This window comes from Homo sapiens, chromosome 16 (genome assembly GCF_000001405.40).
Source record: "Homo sapiens chromosome 16, GRCh38.p14 Primary Assembly".
In the NCBI taxonomy this organism is placed as follows: domain Eukaryota; kingdom Metazoa; phylum Chordata; class Mammalia; order Primates; family Hominidae; genus Homo; species Homo sapiens.
The window spans coordinates 33,313,920-33,333,141 of record NC_000016.10 but is presented as its reverse complement, the minus strand read 5'-3'; the positions used below and the strand labels follow the sequence as shown (position 1 = coordinate 33,333,141).

The 19,222-nt window shown below is 40.6% G+C and overlaps 1 long non-coding RNA gene across 1 annotated transcript; it reads left to right on the top strand.

Moving 5' to 3' along the window:
* The first annotated feature begins 1,973 nt into the window (after positions 1–1,973).
* Positions 1,974–19,222, top strand: LOC105369266 (uncharacterized). Its single transcript, NR_158162.1, has 6 exons — positions 1,974–1,982; positions 2,801–2,877; positions 2,974–3,059; positions 16,256–17,056; positions 17,905–18,368; positions 18,573–19,222. It is a non-coding gene; the product is annotated as an uncharacterized LOC105369266 (long non-coding RNA).

Genomic DNA, 19,222 nt, shown 5'->3' with positions numbered 1-19,222 from the left:
TCACTTCATCATTTCATCTCATCATTTCATCTCATCATTTCGTTTCATCTTTCCATCTCATCATTTCATTTAATCATTTCATTTCATCTTTTCATCTCATCATTTCATTTCATTTCATCATTTCATTTCATCAATTCATCATTTCATTTCATTTTATTATTTCATCATTTCATCATTTCACTTCATTTCCTCATTTCATTTCATCATTTCATATTTCTTCATCATTTCATCTTTTCATTTCATTTCATCATTTTATCATTTCATTTCATTTCATCATTTCACTTCGTCATTTCATTTCATTTCCTCATCTCATTTCACCATTTCATCATTTCATCATTCCATTTCATCATTTCATCATTTCATTTCATCATTTCATCATTTCATCATTTCATTTCATCATTTCATCATTTAATTTCATCATTTCACCATTTCACTTCATCTCATCATTTCATCATTTTATCATTTCATTTCATCAGTTCATTCCTTCATTTCATCATTTCCTTTCATTTCATTATTTCATTTCACCATTTCATCATTTCATTTCATTTCAGTGATACATATATTTAAGTGCTAATGTGATGCCCAGGAGACATCCTACTTCCCTTTGTAAAATACCTCCTTCAACAAAAGGCAACCTCTCATGGCTGGCTAAGTCTACAGGGATACCAGGCTCTCCTCAACCACCCAATTTGATTTAGAACCTCAAACAGCACCTCAGTTTCATGAAAACCTAACACATAAACACAACACTTGGTTGTAAGTGAGCCAACAGCTTCTTGTCTCTTTCTCTGCTCAAGGCTTAAGGCCGTGTCTCCCCAACTACGTTCAGTGGAAGAAAAGATCCCCTGGACAAATAAGTTTGAGGACTGTCATTGCAGGACTTCTCAGAACCTTTAAAACACAAATCCTCATCCGCAGGGATCTTCAGGAGGGAGACGGCTGATGCAGCACAACTTTCTTTCACAGGAGCATCTTGCAGAATACAGTATGAGATACAGAAAGGCTGCACTGAGTCTTTTTAAGGGTCTGGGCCTTGGTGGGGGTGGGGTAGGAGCTCTCCAGATAGCATCTAATGAGTAGGAACATTCAGGTTGCTTTTTTTTTCCCTTATTGGCAAAACTGTGTGTGCACCATGAATGAAGCTGGTCTCCCTTATCCACATCAAAACTAAACCCAAATTAATTGGCTAAATTGGGACTCAACACCACCAGGAGCCACGTGGAAGACAGCCCTACCACACTTTAAAGTAGCTTACCTCATCATGTTTGAGGAAAGCAAAACGCTTATGACCAGTATGCTGCTAATACAAGTCTACAGATAATGCTGTAGGAAAAATTATTTTTCCCAATCATAGCTGGCATAGTCCACATTTTGCATTACAATTTCCCCTTTTTTAAAATTTAAACACAGGTCTTTTTCTCTTCTTTTTAAACATTTTAATTTAATTTTACAAGACGGAGTCTCAGTATGTTGCCCAGGCTGGTCTTCAACTCCTGAGCTCAAGTGATACATCCCTCTCTGCCTCCCAAAGTGCTGGGATTACAGGCCTGAGACACTGTGCCCGGCCTTCAACATAAAGTTTAATTCATTCTTACAATTATCCTGAAGTTAGAAAAATGGAAGGGGAAGAAAAATGGCAAGCAGGTAGGCTGACTTCGACTTCATTATTTGGAAGGACAGTTTGCTCGGTTAAAACACTCTACTGCCCAAAAGGCCAAGACAACAGAAAAATACAGACTTACATAAATAGATTTTATATGTGACAGCAGTTTGAATGGAGACTTTTTCAATGCAAATGACAAACAGCTGTGCTTGGGAATAAATGACAAAGAATTTTTTATCTCAACAGCTGTCCTGAGAGCACGTCTCTACATCTATACCTGCATTCTGGAATCAGGGAGAAAGCCAAAACGGATGACAAGACACTAGGTCAGCCGCGTCCAACCCTTTGACTACAAGGACTTTTCCACCTATCTGTGGTGGTGGGTATCATGAAAATTATGCACAAACCTTTTTTTTTTTTAAGCTCATCAGCTATCGTTAGCATTAGTGTATTTTATATGTGGCCCAGGAGCATTCTTCTTCCAATGTGACCCTGAGAAGCCAAAAGACACCTGTGCACTAGATCAAAAGGCTACTCCTTCTGGAAGCAATTGTAAAGAATTTCTGACATTATCTTCACATGACAACCAATGGGTAGTGGGACAGAATGCAAAAATCTTCAAGTATTTTTCTTGTTGGTTTTTTTTTTTTTTTTTTTGAGTCAGGGTCTTGCTCTGTGGCCCAGGCTGGAGTACACTGCTGAGATCACAGCTCAGTGCAGGCTCAAGTGCTCCTCCCACCTCAGCCACAGTAGTAGCTGGGACTACAGATGTGCACAACCACCACTGGCTAATATTTTATTTTTTGTAGAGACAGGGTCTCACTATATTGTCCAGGTTAGTCTCAAACTCCTTGACTCAAGGGATCCAGGACAGGATAACAGGTGTGAGCCACCACATCTGGCCATGTGCATGAACTTTTAAGACAAACACAAGGCCCCACAAAAGTTAAAGTTTTCCCACCTAATTTCCAGGGGATCTTTTGGTGCAAGGATGAGAAGCCCTTAAAAGTACCCAGACAACTCCAAAGATTCAAGACAGTTCATTGGGGCTGAGCCAGCCCACTGGGCAGACTGACCTTCAAAAAAGGCCCACCCATGATATACACCAGATGGCTCTCCAAGAATCTCTCCAGTCCTCAGGGTCCCTAAGGTACTGGACAGAGCTAGGAAAGCAAACCCATGTGCTTCTTCCTTCAGGCAACCCCTTGAGGTCAAGACCCCACAATCAGATGAGGATGGAGTGGCTCACCCTCAGTCAACAGGCCAGACTCAAGGTGGTATTATGTCTTAACCAAGGGTGTGGGCCTCCAGGTCTCACTCCCAACTCAGTGCTCCTTTAATAACCACACTTTGTTAATTCTCCTTAACAGGGGTTCCAGGCAAGTCAGTTCTCCCTCAGGCCTTCGGTTTCCTCACCCACAAGATGAGAGGGCTGGACCAGATGGAAATTCAGGGGGTAAGGGGATGTCCGCTCGCAGCCCACCTCGCCCATGGGCCCCTCAAGCCTCCCTGCCAGTTCCCACGACGCACCCGCCCCACAGATCCTGCCCAAGGTGAGGGCTGGTCCCGGGTCCTCCGGCTGCCGCATCAGCGAGTGCAGGAGGGAGGGGAAGCCTCCAACGGGGCGACTCGGGCTCAAGGATGCAACTCGGCCAGGAGTGAACTCGGGCACGGAGGGAGGTGTCTGGGCCGCTCCTCGAGCCCAGCCTGGGTCCACGACCCCCTTACCTCCAGGGTCCGTATCTCCTGCTGGGTGAGGTCCTTGGACACAGCGCACTTGTTGCGCAACCGGCTCAGGCTGCCAATGGAGATGCGGATAAGCTTCTGGAGCTGCCCACAAGCTTCTGGAGCTGCCCACACTGCTGCAGCGTCTGGCTGGCTGCGGCCCCTGCGCCTCCCAAAGAGGCCGCCGCATCACCCCCGCCACCGCCCTCCTTCTTCTCTCCCCTGGCCGCTACGCGCAGCGCCGCTCTATGCAGGCCGCAGCGGCCAAGGCGGGGAGCTCGGGGCGCGGGCGCCTAGGCAAGGAACCCCCGAGCCGGGAGAGCTGGACCAGGAGCGCCCCTCGGCTCCGCCCGAACAAGGACGCCGGTAGAGCCGGCAGCCGAGTGTGCCGCTCCCGCCCTCAGAGCCGCGTCGGTGGTGGCAAAAAGCGGCGGCGGTGGGGGCAAAAAGCTGGGGCGGCGGGGACAAAAAGCCTCGGTGGCGGGGGTAAAAAGCCACGGCGGCAAAAACCGGCGGCGGCGGGGGCAAAATGCCGCAGGGGCAAAAAGCCGCAAAAAGCCGCGGCGGCGGGGGCAAGAAGCCGCGGTGGCGGGAGCAAAAAACTGCGGCGGCAAAAAGGGGCGGCGGCGGGGGCAAAAAGCCGCAAAAAGCCTCGGCGTAGGGGGCAAAAAGCCGTGGCGTCGGGGGCAAGAATCCGCGGCGGCGGGGGCAAAAAAAATATATATATAATTATATTATAAATATATATATTTCTATATAAAATATTATAAATATATATTATATTTATATATAATTATATATATTTATAATATAAAATATATTTATATATTATATATATTAATTATATATATATTATAAATATATGTAATAAATCTTGATTCTAAGAATGTTTTCATTATTATCACTAAAACTTATGATAAATGTTTTATTCATTCGTTTGTGACTATATTGCATGATAAAAATTTAAAGATTTATTATGTTTGAATCAAACCCCACGATTTGTGTCATTTCCCCCTGTAATGTGGAAGTCTGAGTTTTTAGTTCACAAATTTGGCAGAACAATAAACAGAGCGGCACAGCTCAAAGCACTAACTCCTCCGGAAGCAGCAGGTCAAAGTACATGCCAGACATTAAGCAGCAGAGCAACTTAGCAAGAGAAGACAGATCCTCAGGTTGGTGGGCAATGTCTGAACAGTCTGCTCATGGCACCAATTGTTAGTCACTTGCAAAGATGTGGCTTTAAGAGGGTAAGAAATTACTACTCACATAAATTACATTTGTGAGGTAAGTAGGAAGGCCTTTCAAGGTGATCTGACATGGCTTGAATGTGCAAGAAAAGGAGCCAGGCCTGGATTTTTATTGAGGGTAGGTGGCATGCTAGGGTGAGAATTTATTCCCATGGACAGGGGTTTGAATGGTTTCAATCTGCTGCTGGTACCAGAAAAGGGACCACCCAGGTTTCCTCTTACTGTATTATTTTATACACACACACACACACACACACACACACACACACACACACACGGTTTAGGATTAAAAATAGAGACAACCATCAAAAAATGAAGATAGTTCCTTTTGGTCAGCCTGGCAAGTAAGGACGTAGAAGGTGACATTCGCATCAGCGAAAGTAAAAAGGGAAACATAGGCCAGCAATTCTCCTAACATCTATCAGAAAAATAAGTTCACAGGGCAAATCACCATCCCAAATTGGACAGAAGGACACACACATCCAGAGAATTATAACTTACTTGGTTAGTAAACCACAAGAAACCCCTATGGGAACAAATACAGTTGTAAGAAAACAAACCATTATTGATGAATGGCTAAAAGTTTGAGAATTAACATTTTCAGGGTATACAAATTTATGAACTTTACTTTCAGAAACATGACATGGCTTTTACAGGGAAGATGATAGAAAAAATGCTTCTTGATTCCAGTAGGAGGAAGGGAAATGTAGCCATTTTTAACTATTCCCAGAAAATTTTCTTTTTAACATTCCTATCTTCAATATAAACTATGTATCAAAAGCCTAACCAACTGAGATTTTACCAGAGCCAGACTTCCTGGAGTAAGAGAAATGCCCAATTCCATCCCCCTCTAACCTTCTTGATCCAGTTAAGAGAGGTAAAGAGTGAGAAGTCCTCATGAAATTCACAGCCTAGGGATACACTGTTTTGTTTTGATTTGTTTTAATGAGGCTAATGCATAAGTCAATAGAGTGCTTTGCCTAAGCTCTCACATAACCACTACATCAACAGCAGAATAAATACATGGTAGCAGAATACAACTGAAAGAACTGTATGCCTCAGATCTTGTTAAATAAGTCTCTAAGAGACCACAAGGAAATTGAATAATGTTGATAAAGTCGACACATGTATATGTAGAAATACACAATGTACTGACACTGAGTCATGAACAAATAGAAAATCTGAACAGACCTATAGTTGCAGATTGATGCAAAAATCACCCCTCCAGAAAAAAAAGTACAAAACTGTTATGCTGCTGAATCTATCAAACATTTTAAGAATTAATTACCAATTATCCTCAAACTCTTGCAAAAACCTGAAGATGCAGAAACACTTCCAAATTTATTCTATGAGGTAGGCCAAAATTACAGTGACATAAAAAATGAACAAAAGCACTACAAGAAAGAAAGTTGAAGAAAAATGTTCTTTATAAATAATATAAAATCTATAAAATAAATATTAGCAAAATATATTTAGCAGAATAATAAGAGGGTTATCTACCAAGACTAATTGAGAGTTATTACTGAAGTGCAAAGATGCTTTAACATATAAATATCAATAAATGTAGCCAGGCACAGTGGCTTGTGCCTGTAATCCCAGTTACCCAGGATGCTAAGGTGATAGGTTCACTTCAGTCCAGGAGTTCAAGAGCAGTCTAAACAACATCATAATATCCTGTCTCTAAAAATAAATAAATAATAAATAAATAAACAAATAATCATAATATACCGCATTAGTACTGTTAAACACCACAATATCTCAATTTACACAGAAAAAGCATTCTACAAGATATTACTCATTCATGGTACAAACACACAACATAATCAACAGTGAAATACAAAAAATGTTTTCCCTTAATATCAGGAACTAAAAATAGTTCCTCTTTTTTACCACTTCCACTCAACAGAGTATATAAAACTTTAGCTTAAGCAATAACAAAAATAAAATAAAGACAAAAATGCATATGTTAAAAAGAATAAAATAGAAATATCTCTGTTCACAGTAATCATGTATGCACACAATTCTGAAGATTGTACAAACAGAAAAACACCTCAAAACAGTTTAAACAAATTAAGTAATGTTGCAGGATACAAAATTAACTTACAAAACTCAGTTGCATTGATGCACACCAATAATGATTAATCTGAAAAGGAAATTAAGAAAACAATACCATGAACAACAGTATTAAAAAGAATAAAATGCTCTGGAATCAATTTAACCAGGATGACAAACTATTTGTACAATAAAAACTTTCAAAATGCTGCTGTAAGAAATCAAAGGTACAAATAAATGGAACAGTATCTTCTGTTCATAGGTGAAAAGACTTTTTAAAAAATTTCAACTTTTATTTTAGATTCAGGGGTTACAGGCACAGATTTGTTATGTAGGAATATTGTATAATGCTCAGGTTTGGAGCACATAGGTAGTGAGCACAGCAACCAATATGTAGTATATTAACTTGCCCTCCCCTCTGCACACTTTAGTAGTCCACCGTGTTTACTGTTCCCATATTTATGTCCATATATGCTCAATGTTTAGCTCTTATAAGTAAGAACATGCAGTATTTGGCTTTCTGTTTCTGCATTAATTTGCTTGAAATTATGGCCTCTGGTTCCACCTATGTTCATACCAAGGACATGATTTCATTATATTTCACAGCTGTGTAGTATTCCATGGTGTATACATACCAGGTTTTCTTTATCCAATATACCATTGATGGGCATCTGGATTGATCCCACATCTTTGCTATTGTGAATAGCACAGTGATGCATTCAAGTGCATATGTCTTTTTGGTAGAATGATTTATTTTCTTTTGGGTATATACCCAGTTGTAGGATTGCTGGGTAAATTGGTAGTTCTGTTTTAAGTTCTTTCAGAAATCTCGAGACTGCTCTCCACGATTGCTGAACTAATTTACAATCCTGCCAGTGACGTAAAGTGTTTCCTTTTCTGCACAGCCTTGCCAACATGTTATTTATTGACTTTTTAGTAATAGCCATTCTGACTAACATGAGATGGTACCTCATTGTGGTTCTGATTTGCATTTATCTGATAATTACTGATGCTGAGCAATTTTTCATGTTTGTTGGCCACTTGTATATCTTCTGTTCAGGCATATCTGTTCATCTCATTTGCCCATTTTTTATTTTTTAATGGTTTTTTTTTTTTGGCTTGTTGATTTGAGTTCCCTATGGAGTCTGGATATTAGGCTTTTGTTAGACTCATAGTTTGTGAATATCTCCTCCCATTCTGGAGGATGCCTCTTTCCCCTGTTGATAGTTTATTTTGCTGTGCAGAAGCTATTTAGTCAAATTAAGTCCTACTTGTCTATTTTTGTTTTGGTTGCAATTGCTTTTGGGGACTTAGCCAAAAACGACTTGCCAAGGCTGATGTCAAAAAAATATTTCCTAGGTTATCTTCCAGAATTTTTATAGTTTGAGGTCTTACACTTAAATTTTTAATCCATTTAAATTTAATTTTGGGGCATGTTGCAAGGTAAAGGTCTAGGTTCAATCTTCTGCCTATGGCAAGCCAGTTATCCCAGAATGTATTGACTAGGGAGTCCTTTCCCCATTGCTTGTTCTTGCCAGCCTTGTCAAATATCATATGGTTGTAGGTGTGTGACTTTCAGCAGTGTTTTGTAGTTCTCCTTGAAGAGATCTTTCATTTCCTTGGTTATCTGTATTCCTAGGTATTTCTCTTTTTTGTGGCTATTTTAAGTGGAATTGTGTTCTTGATTTCACTCTTGGCCTGGACATTGTTGGTGTATGGAAATGCTACTTATTTCACCATAATCAGTACTGTTTACACTGATTTTGTATCCTGAGACTATACTAAAGTTATTAATTCTAGGAGCCTTCTGGCAGAATCTCTAGGATTTTCTAGGCATAGGATCATATTTTCAGCGAAGAGAGATAGTTTGACTTCTTTTCCTGTTTCGTTACTTTTTCTTTCTCTTGCCTGATTGCTCTGCATAGGACTTCCAGTACTAAGCTGAATAGGAGTGCTGTGAGTGAGCATCCTTGTCTTGTTTCAGTTCTCATAGAAATAGTTTTAAGTTTTTAACCTATTGAGTATGATGTTGACTGTGGGTTTCCCATAGATGACTCTTATTATTTTAAGGTATGTTCCTTGGATGCCTAGTCTATTGAGGATTTTTACCATGAAGTAGTGTTGGATTTTATTAAGAAGACCTTTGTGTATCTGTTTAGAAAATCATATGGTTTTTACTTTTGATTCTATTTAGCTGGTGAATCACATTTATTGGTTTGCATATGTTGAACCAGCTTGCATCCCAGGAATAAAGCCTACTTGACCATGGTGTATTACCTTTCTGATGTGGTGCTGAATTTGGTTTGCTAGTATTTTGTTGAGGATTTTTACATTTTCTGTTCATGAGGGATCTTGGTCTGAAGTTTTGTTTTTTCACAGTGTCTCTGCCAGATTTTCATATCATGCTACTGCTGGTTTCAAAGAATGAGTTAGGAAGGAGCCCCACCGCCTCGATATTTTGAAATAATTTTAGTAGGATTGATATCATTTCTTCTTAGTATGTCTGGTAAAACTCAGCAGCCAATCTACCTGTTTCAGGCCTTTTTGTTGTTGTTGTTGTTGTTGGTAGGTTCTTTAGTACTGACTCAATGTCAGAAGTTGATATTAGTCTACTTAGAGTTTTGATCTCTTTCTGATTCCATCTTGGGAGACTGTGTGCTTCCTGGAATTTATTCATTTTCTCCAGATTTTCTAATTTGCGTGCAGAGCTGTTCATAGTACTCGCTGAGGATCTTTTGTATCTCTATCTGATCCATTTTAATATAACCTGTCATTTTTATTGCGCTTATTTGGATCTTCTCTTTCTTTTTTATATTTGTTAATTTGGCTAGGAGCTTATCAATTTTTTTTGAAGAACCAATTTTTTGTTTTCTTGGACTGTTGTATACATTTTTGCATCTCAACTTCATTAAATTCTTCTCTAATTGCTGTTATGTCTTCTCTCATGCTAGCTTTGGGGTTGGTTGGTTCTTTTTTTCAAGTTCCTTTAGGTGCAAAGTTACATCGTTAATTTGAGACATTTCTAACTTCTTGATAAAGGCATTTAGGGCTATAAAGTTTCCTCTTAACACTGCTTTGGCTGCATCTTAGAAATTTTGGTAAGTTGTGTTCCTATTTCTATCAATTTCAAGTAATTTTTATATTTCTGCCTTACTTTGATGTTTACAAAGGATTTATTCAGGAGTAAGTTGTTTAATTTTCATGTATTTCTGTAGTTTTGAGAGATCTTGGTATGCATTTGTATTTTTTATTGTACTGTGCTCCAACAGTGTGCTTGGTGAGATTTCATTTTTCCTTAATCTATTCAGGCTTTATTTATCACTGAGCACGTGGTTGAACTTAGAATTTTTTTTTGTGCAGATGAGAAAAATGTACATTCTGTGGTTGTTCGATGGAGTTTTCAATAGATGTCTATTAGGTCCAATTGGTCAAGTGTGGAGTTTAACTCCAGAGTTTTCCTGTTAGTTTTTTTTTTTTTTGGCCTCAGTGATATGTCTAATGCTGTAAGTAGGGTGTTGAAGTCTCTTACTACTATTGTGATGTTGTCTAAGCCTTTTTGTGGGGAAAGAAAAAGTCATTTTGTAAATCTGGGTGCTCCAATATTAAGTGTATATATATTTAAGATATTTAAGGCTTCTCACAGGATTTTATCCTTTATCAATATGCCCTTGTTATTCTTCTTTTCATTGGTAGGCAAAGAAGAAGTCATTTTATGAATTTGGATGCTCCAGTGGTAATCACATATATATTTAAGATAGTTAAGGCTTCTTGTTAGATTGCACCCTTTATCAAAATGCTCTTCTTGTCCCTCTTAGTGTTTTTTTTTTTTTTTTTGGTTTAAATTTGTTTTATCTAATATAAGAATAGTGACTGCTGCTTGTTTTTGTTTCGTTTGCATGGTAGAATACACTCCACCCTTTTACTCTGAGGCAAAGGGTGTGTCTTGAAAGCAACAGATGGATGGGTACTGTCTTTTTATCCAGGATGCCACTTTGTGTCTTTTAACTGTGGTGTTTAGCTTACTTACATGTTAGGTGAGTATTGATATGTGTGATTTTGAATTCACCATCATGTTGTTAGCTGGTTGTTATGTAGAGTTGATTGCATTATTGCTTTATAGTGCCTGTGGGCTATGTGCTTAAGTGAGCTTTTTTGGTAGCAGATATCATTCACTTGAATCCATGTTTAGCACTACCTTAAAGACCTCTTGTAAGGCTGGTCTAGTTTAAATGTATCACGTCAGCATTTGCTTGTCAAAGGAATTTTTTTTTTCCTCTTTCACCTATGAAGCTTAGTTTAGAGGGATATAAAATTATTGGTTAATTTTTTTTCCTTTAAAAACTCTGCAGATAGGCCCCTAACCTCTTCTGGTTGCAAGGAGTCTGCTGAGAGGTCTGCTGCTAGTCTGATGGAATTCACTCTGTGAGTAACCTGCCCTTTCTCTCTAACTGATCTTAAATTTTTTTTTGCACTGACTTTGGTGAATCTGATGACTATGTGACATGGAAATAGCAATATGGTTTGGATCTGTGATTCTGCCCCAATCACATGTGGAACTGTAATCTTCAATGTTGGAGGTGGGGCCTGCTGAGAGGTGATTGGATAATGGGGATAGATCCTTGTGAATGGTTTAACACCAGCCCCTTGTGCTGTCTTGCGATAACGTTCTCATGAGATCTGGCTGTTTAAGAATGGGTAGCACCTCCCCGCTCTCTGTGTTGCTCCTGTTCTTCCATGTAAGATGCCTTGCTCCCCCTCTTCCTTCTTCCATGGTTGTTAGTTTCCTGAGGGCTCCCCATAAGCCAAGCTGATGCTGCCATGCTTCCGCTGCAGCCTGCAGAATTGTGAGCCAACCAAACTTCTTTTCATTATAAATTACCCAGTATCAAGTATTTCTTTATAGCAATGTGAGAACTGACTAATACAGACTGTCATATATTATTGTATCTGACTAGGGGCTGACTGGGGTTCTCTTGGATTTGAATGGCAACCTCGCTAGTGAGATTAGAGGTACTTTCATGAACTATATCTTCATACATATTTTCCAACTTGCCTATTCTCTTTCCTTCTCTCTCAGAAATGTTGATAAATTGTAGATTTGTTCTCTAAGTAATCTCATATTTCTCAATGGGGATGTTGATTTTTCTTAATTCTTTTATCTTTATTTTTGTCTGACTATGTTGATTCAATAAAACAGTGTTTGAGCTCTGAGATTCTTTTCTCAGTTTAGTCTATTCTGCTGGAAATACTTCTGATTTTATTATAAAATCCTCACAGTAAATCTTTCAGCTCAAGAATTTTTTTAGTTTAGATATTTCTTAAGATTGCTATTTTATCTTTCAGGTTTTGAATCATTTAACCGGATTGCTTGGCTTCCTTGGGTTAAGTTTCAACTTTCTTCTCAATCTAAATGAGTTTCCCTGCTCTTTTTTCCATGTCTGTCATTTTAGACAATTCAGACTGTTAAAAACCATCACTGGGGCACTAGTGGGCTCTCTTGAAGGAGACACTCTGGCTTTTTGCATTGCCAGAGATTTTGAGCCAATTCTTTCTCATCTGAGAGAACTGGTATACCTCTAATTGGGGTATAAATTGAGTATAGTCTATTGGCTTTCTTTTTTTGAAGGTTTTCAGAGGACTAGGACTCTGTACAGTGTCTTTGTTGTTGAATTCTTGCTCTTGGTTTCACAGGGGAAGAATTAGTAAAGTGATTTTTGGTGGTGTAATCTCTACTGCGATCCAGTAGATAGCACTTGAGAGCAGTGGGATGTAGATAGGTTCTTTACCATGCAGTTCCTTTGTGTATCTTCTTTATTTGCAACTATGTTCTGTGGTACAGGTCTGTTCATGAGTCTTGAGAGACTCACTTCCAATCACTGGCACTATGCCCATTATTATTACTATCATTATCTCCTTTTTTTTTTTTTTTTTTTTTTTTTTTTTTGAGACAGAGTCTTGCTCTGTCGCCCAGAGACTGGAGTGCAGTGGCAGGATCTCAGCTCACTGCAAGCTCTGCCTCCTGGGTTCATGCCATTCTCCTGTCTCAGCCTCCCGGCTAGCTGGGACTACAGGCGCCCGCCACCACGCCTGACTATTTTTTTGTATTTTTAGTAGAGACAGGGTTTCACCGTGTTATCCAGGATGGTCTCGATCTCCTGACCTCGTGATCCACCCGCCTCCGCTTACCAAAGTGCTGGGATTACAGGCGTCAGCCACCGCGCCCGGCCTATTACTATCATTATCATTATTGTCATTGTTGTTAGGTGTTTCAAGCTGTGGGGCTTCCTCAGGGAGATGTCTTCTAGAAAAATACCCTGCATCTTTACCATAACAGCCCTGTGGAAGGAGGTGTGCCTAGGGCCCACGCCAGCCTGTGAACCTGTGTGAATCTGGCCTCTCAGTTTCTGAAGAGTGTGGGTTCCTCCCCCATTCAACTGCCCAGCACAGATCCCAGCTTGACACTCCTGAACCACAGGCCACAGCACTGGAGTGCCACGACTTGCTTATGACTCCCTCTTCCTGATGCTTAGGGCCAGGTTCCAAGTGTGGTGAGGGATCTGAGGGATTTCTGGGCTGCCAGAATGCATTCAGGTGGAGCCAAGCATCCAGGTTGGGTAGCAGAAACTACAATGTATACATGCTTCTCCCAGGAAGCCAGGCAGGGGCCATGTAAGAGGCTGGTGGACAGGCATGCCTACAGGATAGACATGTCCCAGTCCTGCGGGTAAGCAGGCCTTGCTTTCTCCCTGCAGTTTAGCTGGGGCCAAAGCCTCTGAGAGAGATAGGCAGCTGCAGAGGTGGGACTTTATGGTTGAGCTCCACCAGATCCGACCCATGCTAAAAAGTCCTGGCTCTGTGCCTGCTACAGCTCCATCTCCATCTACTCTCCAGGGAGATCTCCTTGCCAACTCACATGTCCATGGGGGTGTGGAGTTTCCTGCAGCCAGGATCCCAGTGGTCTGCAGCGAGAGTGAGCAGCCTCCCAGTCCCTTTACTCACTTCTTCCCCAGATGCCACTCAGGGCCAAAAAGCAGTCATAGCGTTCAGGCACCCCATAAGGGCACCCCAGCTTCCTTGCTCTTCAGTCTTAGAAAACGCACCTTTTCTCCATCCACACTATCCATTTTCTCTCCAAATATCTATTCAAACTATGTTGATGTAGTCAAAATTGTGGTCTTTCTCTTTGGGAGCAACACTTGCTGGCTGCATCCAGTAAGCCATCTTGGAAACTCTCTTAAAAGTACTAATGTGGCAATTTCTCCTAAAATTATCTATAAATGCAGTGCAATCCCAATCAAAAGCCCAATAACTTTTTTTAAATGGAAACAGAAACTAACATTCTAAAATTCAAGTGAAATCTCAAGGAACCAAGAATAGTCAAAACGATCGCAAAAAAAAGAGATAAAAATGTTCAGAGCTCTAATTTCATAATGAGAAATTTCCTAACGTCAAAAGTTACTCACAGTCATGTTACTCAAAACAGTGTGGTACTGGGATAGAGACTACAAACAAATGAAATAAAATAGTGTCTCTCAGAGGACACTATCAATAGAGTAACAGGACAACTCTGAATAATAGAACATACTCCATAACAATACTCTAATAATACATCTGGCAAGGTATTAATATAGGGAAAATACAAAGTAAAAAGGTTTGAAAATCTTCAACACTCCTCATGATAAAAACATTAAATAAACTGGAAATAGAAAAGATATTGTAAGACATCTATAAAAACCCCACAGCTAACATCATACTTGATGTTAAAAGACAAAATGCTTTCTACCTAAGATCAGAAATAAGACAAAGATGTCTGTTCTCACGACATCTATTCAACATGGTAAAAAAAAAGCTGTTAGCTAGGAAATTAGGCAAGAACATAAAAGTATTAGTGATTTTAAAGCAAATACACACATAGCACCCAGGCATAAATACAAAAGCAGACTTTTCACTGCACATAAAGGTGGATACACGCAGACAAAGACACGCAAGCTTGTTAACTGTCAGAGTTAGCAGCTGAAACACATAAATAAATGCTCAGAGAGACACCCAGTTTAGACCTCTGCTCTCTTTACCACACTCTCCTCCCACATTAGCAGTAACCACTATCTTACACATTGTTTATTTTACTTGTATTATATATTTATTTTTTCCTAGAATATCAGCTTCAAGTGGGCAGAATTATTTGTTTTGTTTTAGTCATTGCAGCACCTCCTAGAACATCTGCTACACAGGGCAAGATTAATACATAATAAATCACTGGGCTCAAATTCACACAACTATACACAGTGCTTTTCCATGAACCTCATCATAGGCCCATATAAACTTGATTTGCACAAAATGAGTTTTTCTTAACTCGATCTTATGTGGCAGGGTGGTGTCTTCTGAACTCCAAACAAATTCCTAAAGGTTAGCTTACTCAAATGAATTGAAAATGTAAGTCCACACAAAAACCTGCACAAAAAAGTTTACAGCAATATTAATTGTAGTTTTCACAAAACTTGGAAGCAACCAAGATCATGTATTCACCAAGGTCAGAGGTACAAAATTATTATACAAAAATCAATTCTACTTCTATACACTTGCAATGAAATATCTAATAATGCAGTTGAGGCAAAAACAAATCCATTTACAATAGCAATTAAATAATAAATCATAGAAATAAATTTTTAAAAATGTGAAAGGAACTTATAATCTGAAAACTACAAACCTTATCGAAAGAGGTTGAAGATCTAAATAAATGAGAAACCATTCCATGTTTATGAATCAGTAGGTTTAATACATTATGATGACAATAACTCCCCAAACAGTCTACATCCAGTACAATTAGATTCAGTACAATTAGAATTCAAGGTGACTACCATGTAAAAACTGAAGCATTGATGCTGAAATTCATATAAAATTAAAAGGGACTAAGAATATCTTTAAAAATCTTTAAAAAGATGCCAAATAAAAGGACTCACAAATTACAACTTCAAAATTTGCCTCAAAGCAACCTTAATCAAGATGGTGTAGTAACGACACAAGGAAAGTCATTTAGATCAATGAAATACAACTGAGAACCCAGAGAGAGTAAAATCAGCAAAATGTCAAGAATGTACAGCTCCAAACACCTGCTCCTCCACAGAAACAGGGAAAACCAAGCAGAACTGTCAGAAACGATGTTGTAAAACCTGTTGAAAACCATCAAGTTGTACAGCAACCATGTAACTACAAAATCAAGAAAAACAATGAAGAACAGGAGAAAAGCCTCGTGGACTTTTTACACGTCCTTGCCCAAATCCTTCCCTTACTTGATGGCAGTCTTAAAAACAACATCCTGAGTTGCCAGTATGGGCCTCTGCTCAGTGGTTCCAGAGGGAAAAGAGGAGGTCTTACTTGCAAAGTATTGTGTTGTTACATTAAAATCTGTATTAGGGCTATCCAGAGGTCTGAAACAAGGCTCTCTTTTTTCTCTAAGTCAGAAAAAAAAATCAGTTTAAAAAATTGGCACGAGTTACTTGGGAGTATTTTAAGGAAACTGAAAGCCAGCAGCCCCCTGGAGAACAGATTACAGACGACACATACAATAGGTCACATAAAGCCAAGAATAAAAAGCTAACGTGAGATTTTGTTTTGTTTTACAAATTAGGCTATTAAAAAGCACCCAGGTATGCTGGCAAATTGACAAAGCACTCTGTGCATAACCACGAAAAACACATTTTCTTAAAGACCCAAGAAGACCCTCATTTTCAGCACTGGCTGACCTTCAGGCTCAGCTCAGCAGAAAGTGAAGACTGAAGCAAAGTTTTCAACAGTCTGCACATGTGTTAAAGGAACGCCCCAGCCCAGAGCCATCCACAAAAACTGGAAGAATCCGTCAGTTTGTCTTTGTCTCAGTTTTGTCATATAGACCTTTGTGACACACAGATCTATATACAATGGAAACTACAAATTTCTAATGAAAGAGCCATGAAAGATCACAAAAGATCTTAATAAATAGAAAGACATTTAATGTGCATGATCATAAAATCTCAATATTGTCAAGATATAATTTCTCCCCAATTTGAGTTATAGGCAAGAGAGTCACATCATCTAGGTGATTGGCCAAACATATGTCACAATCCCTTCCATTGACAGCTCCCAAAAAAGGAGTTACATCACCTAGGTGCTCAGCTCTGAGATGTGTCACAACATTGCCCAATACAGGCAGGCCACAGGCGGGAGAGTCACATTTCCTGGGTGCTTGGCCCAGTGGTATGTCACATTTCCTTATGTAGGAAGGGCACACGTAGCAAGAGAGAGTCACATTACCTAGGTACTGTGCTAGAGCTATCAGTCTCTGTGTCGTTCAATGTGAGAGTTATGATCTCTTTAGACATCCATGTAACAGAGCCTCAACTCCTTCATCCTCAGATGTAAAGGCTAGTGAAGACCAAATAAGCCTTGAAAGGTAATTCCCCTAAAAAGGCAGAATGTCTTAGGCTTTGGCCTCTCCCCTTCAAGCACAATGAGATCATAACCTCTCTTTTGACTTCTCACTATGCCCAGCACTGGAACAAAGCTCCTGACTCCACACCCTCACCTTTCCACCCTTGTGCCTTCACTGGGCAGACAAGAGATGAGAAGACCTGAACTCTGGGACAGTCTGGGGAGAAAAGAATCCAAAAAGGGTTGAGGCGGCAAGGGCTGAGCTCCCACGGGTGCCCCGGCCCAAAGGTGCAGGTCCAGGCTGTTTTCCAGGTGGCATTCAGTGCAGGTTCTTCAATGCCACTGGAAGGCATGAAAAACCCACTGTAGCTGCTGCTGCTTCCTTTTCTTAAGCTGTGAAAATGCAAACACTTTTTCAAGGTTTTCAGATATGCCCAGGTACCCCCAACTGAAAAGGAGGATAATGGCATTGTTCATCATGGCTTATTGTCTTGCCCAGGCAGGAGCCAGCCCCTGACTCGCCAATCCAGCTGCCCCAGGCTGGAGGTGATCCTTTCGAGCCTCCTCCCTGCAACTCCACTCCTCTTTTTTCTCTTCCTCAACCACCGGCATACTTTTGGTCATCCTCCTTGTTGTCACAATGGGGGCGTGATGCCATAAAGACCTGGGAACCCCAATGATCTCAGGTCCCGCAGGGGTCAGGTGAGCATATAGGAAGTCCAGAAGGACAGTCATCTGCCACCTCCAGTTGAAAAAGAACAAAACCCTCGCACTCCAGAAATGAGTCAAGAACCCAGCGAAGGCCACAGGTCTAGCCCACAACCACCTAGGTATGTGGGGTCCTCCAAGGCTCACGCTTGTGTCCTGCAGGCTGGAGCCCATGCGAGGGTCTGCAGTCTTTGTTCCGGATGGGGAACTACTGCTTCAGCTGGTTACCCAGGTGTCCCCGATGGGGAAAGGAAGGAAATGGTGAGAATCTTCAGCACAACGGATCACATCACCCTGGCAGAGACCAGTCCGGCCTGCGCATGGCACCAGCAGCCGCAGGCTAGAGGCAGTCATGTCAGGCCTCCTCCATACAGCATCTCTCCTGCTTTTTTTTCAAACGGCCCTAATCACTTAATTTGGTCATCTTCCCTGTCACAATGGGGCACCTGGCGCTATAGACACTTGGGAAACACACAGATCTGGGGTCCTACAGTGTCCAGGTGAAGACGCCGGGAGTCAGAGAGGAAAGTCTTTTGAAGCCTCCAAAAGGAATGCACAGGACCCCACTTGAAGAGGTGGAGTGCCCAGTGGCGGATACAGGCCCCACACATCGCAGCAGTAAACAGGTAAGGCGCTCCCTGGCCCATGCCTGTTTCCTGGAAACTGAAGCCATGCCCAGGCTGGGAGTCACCATTCCAGAAACAGAATAAGCTGTTGGGCTGGCTACCTCACCCAGCACCCGGCCACGCCAGAGAGAATCTTGGATGCTGCTTTCCCACAGGCTGTAGTGCCTTCCAAGTTAGGCCACCCTAATAACAGTTCTCCCACAGGGACTCCACGGTGTCCAGCTCTCCAGCCTGGGGTTTCTCATCACCCAGTGATTCCAAAAGAAACGATCTACAATGGCATGACTAAGTTCCAGAAACAAATAAACAAAATACTGAGGGAAGCCCGTTGGTCACTTTGATTCTTCAAAGGTGACAATTGTCCCTCCCTGAAATCTTGTGAGTGCATGAACAGGCTATTCTAATGTAAATGAAATTCACACTAAAACTGATTGAAAGATGATTCTGTTTCCAAGGTACTTTGTATTCTCAAATTGCACCTGCTTACCCTGGCCCCCTCAAAATGGAAGAGTGATGACTATTTGTCTTCGTAGCACTGTGGGGACACAGAGCCTTAAATGGAAGAGTGTCAAAAGCAACATTCCATAAAGGGCTGTCACTTCCAATTTTCAAGCAAGGTTGGAAACCAACCATGATGTATGAAACACTGTTGGCCAAAGTGCACAATTAGTAATACAAAATGAATAATATAAACTATTGTAAATATGTGTGGACATCGTGGCAATTTGGACATCAAAAAACACTGCCAAATTCAGAAAGAGGAAGCTGTAAACTCATGGCTGTTAGGAAGCTTAACTTCTGTGTACTAGAACCTATCAAAATTAAATTTCTCCATGTCAATCCGTCCAAACAAA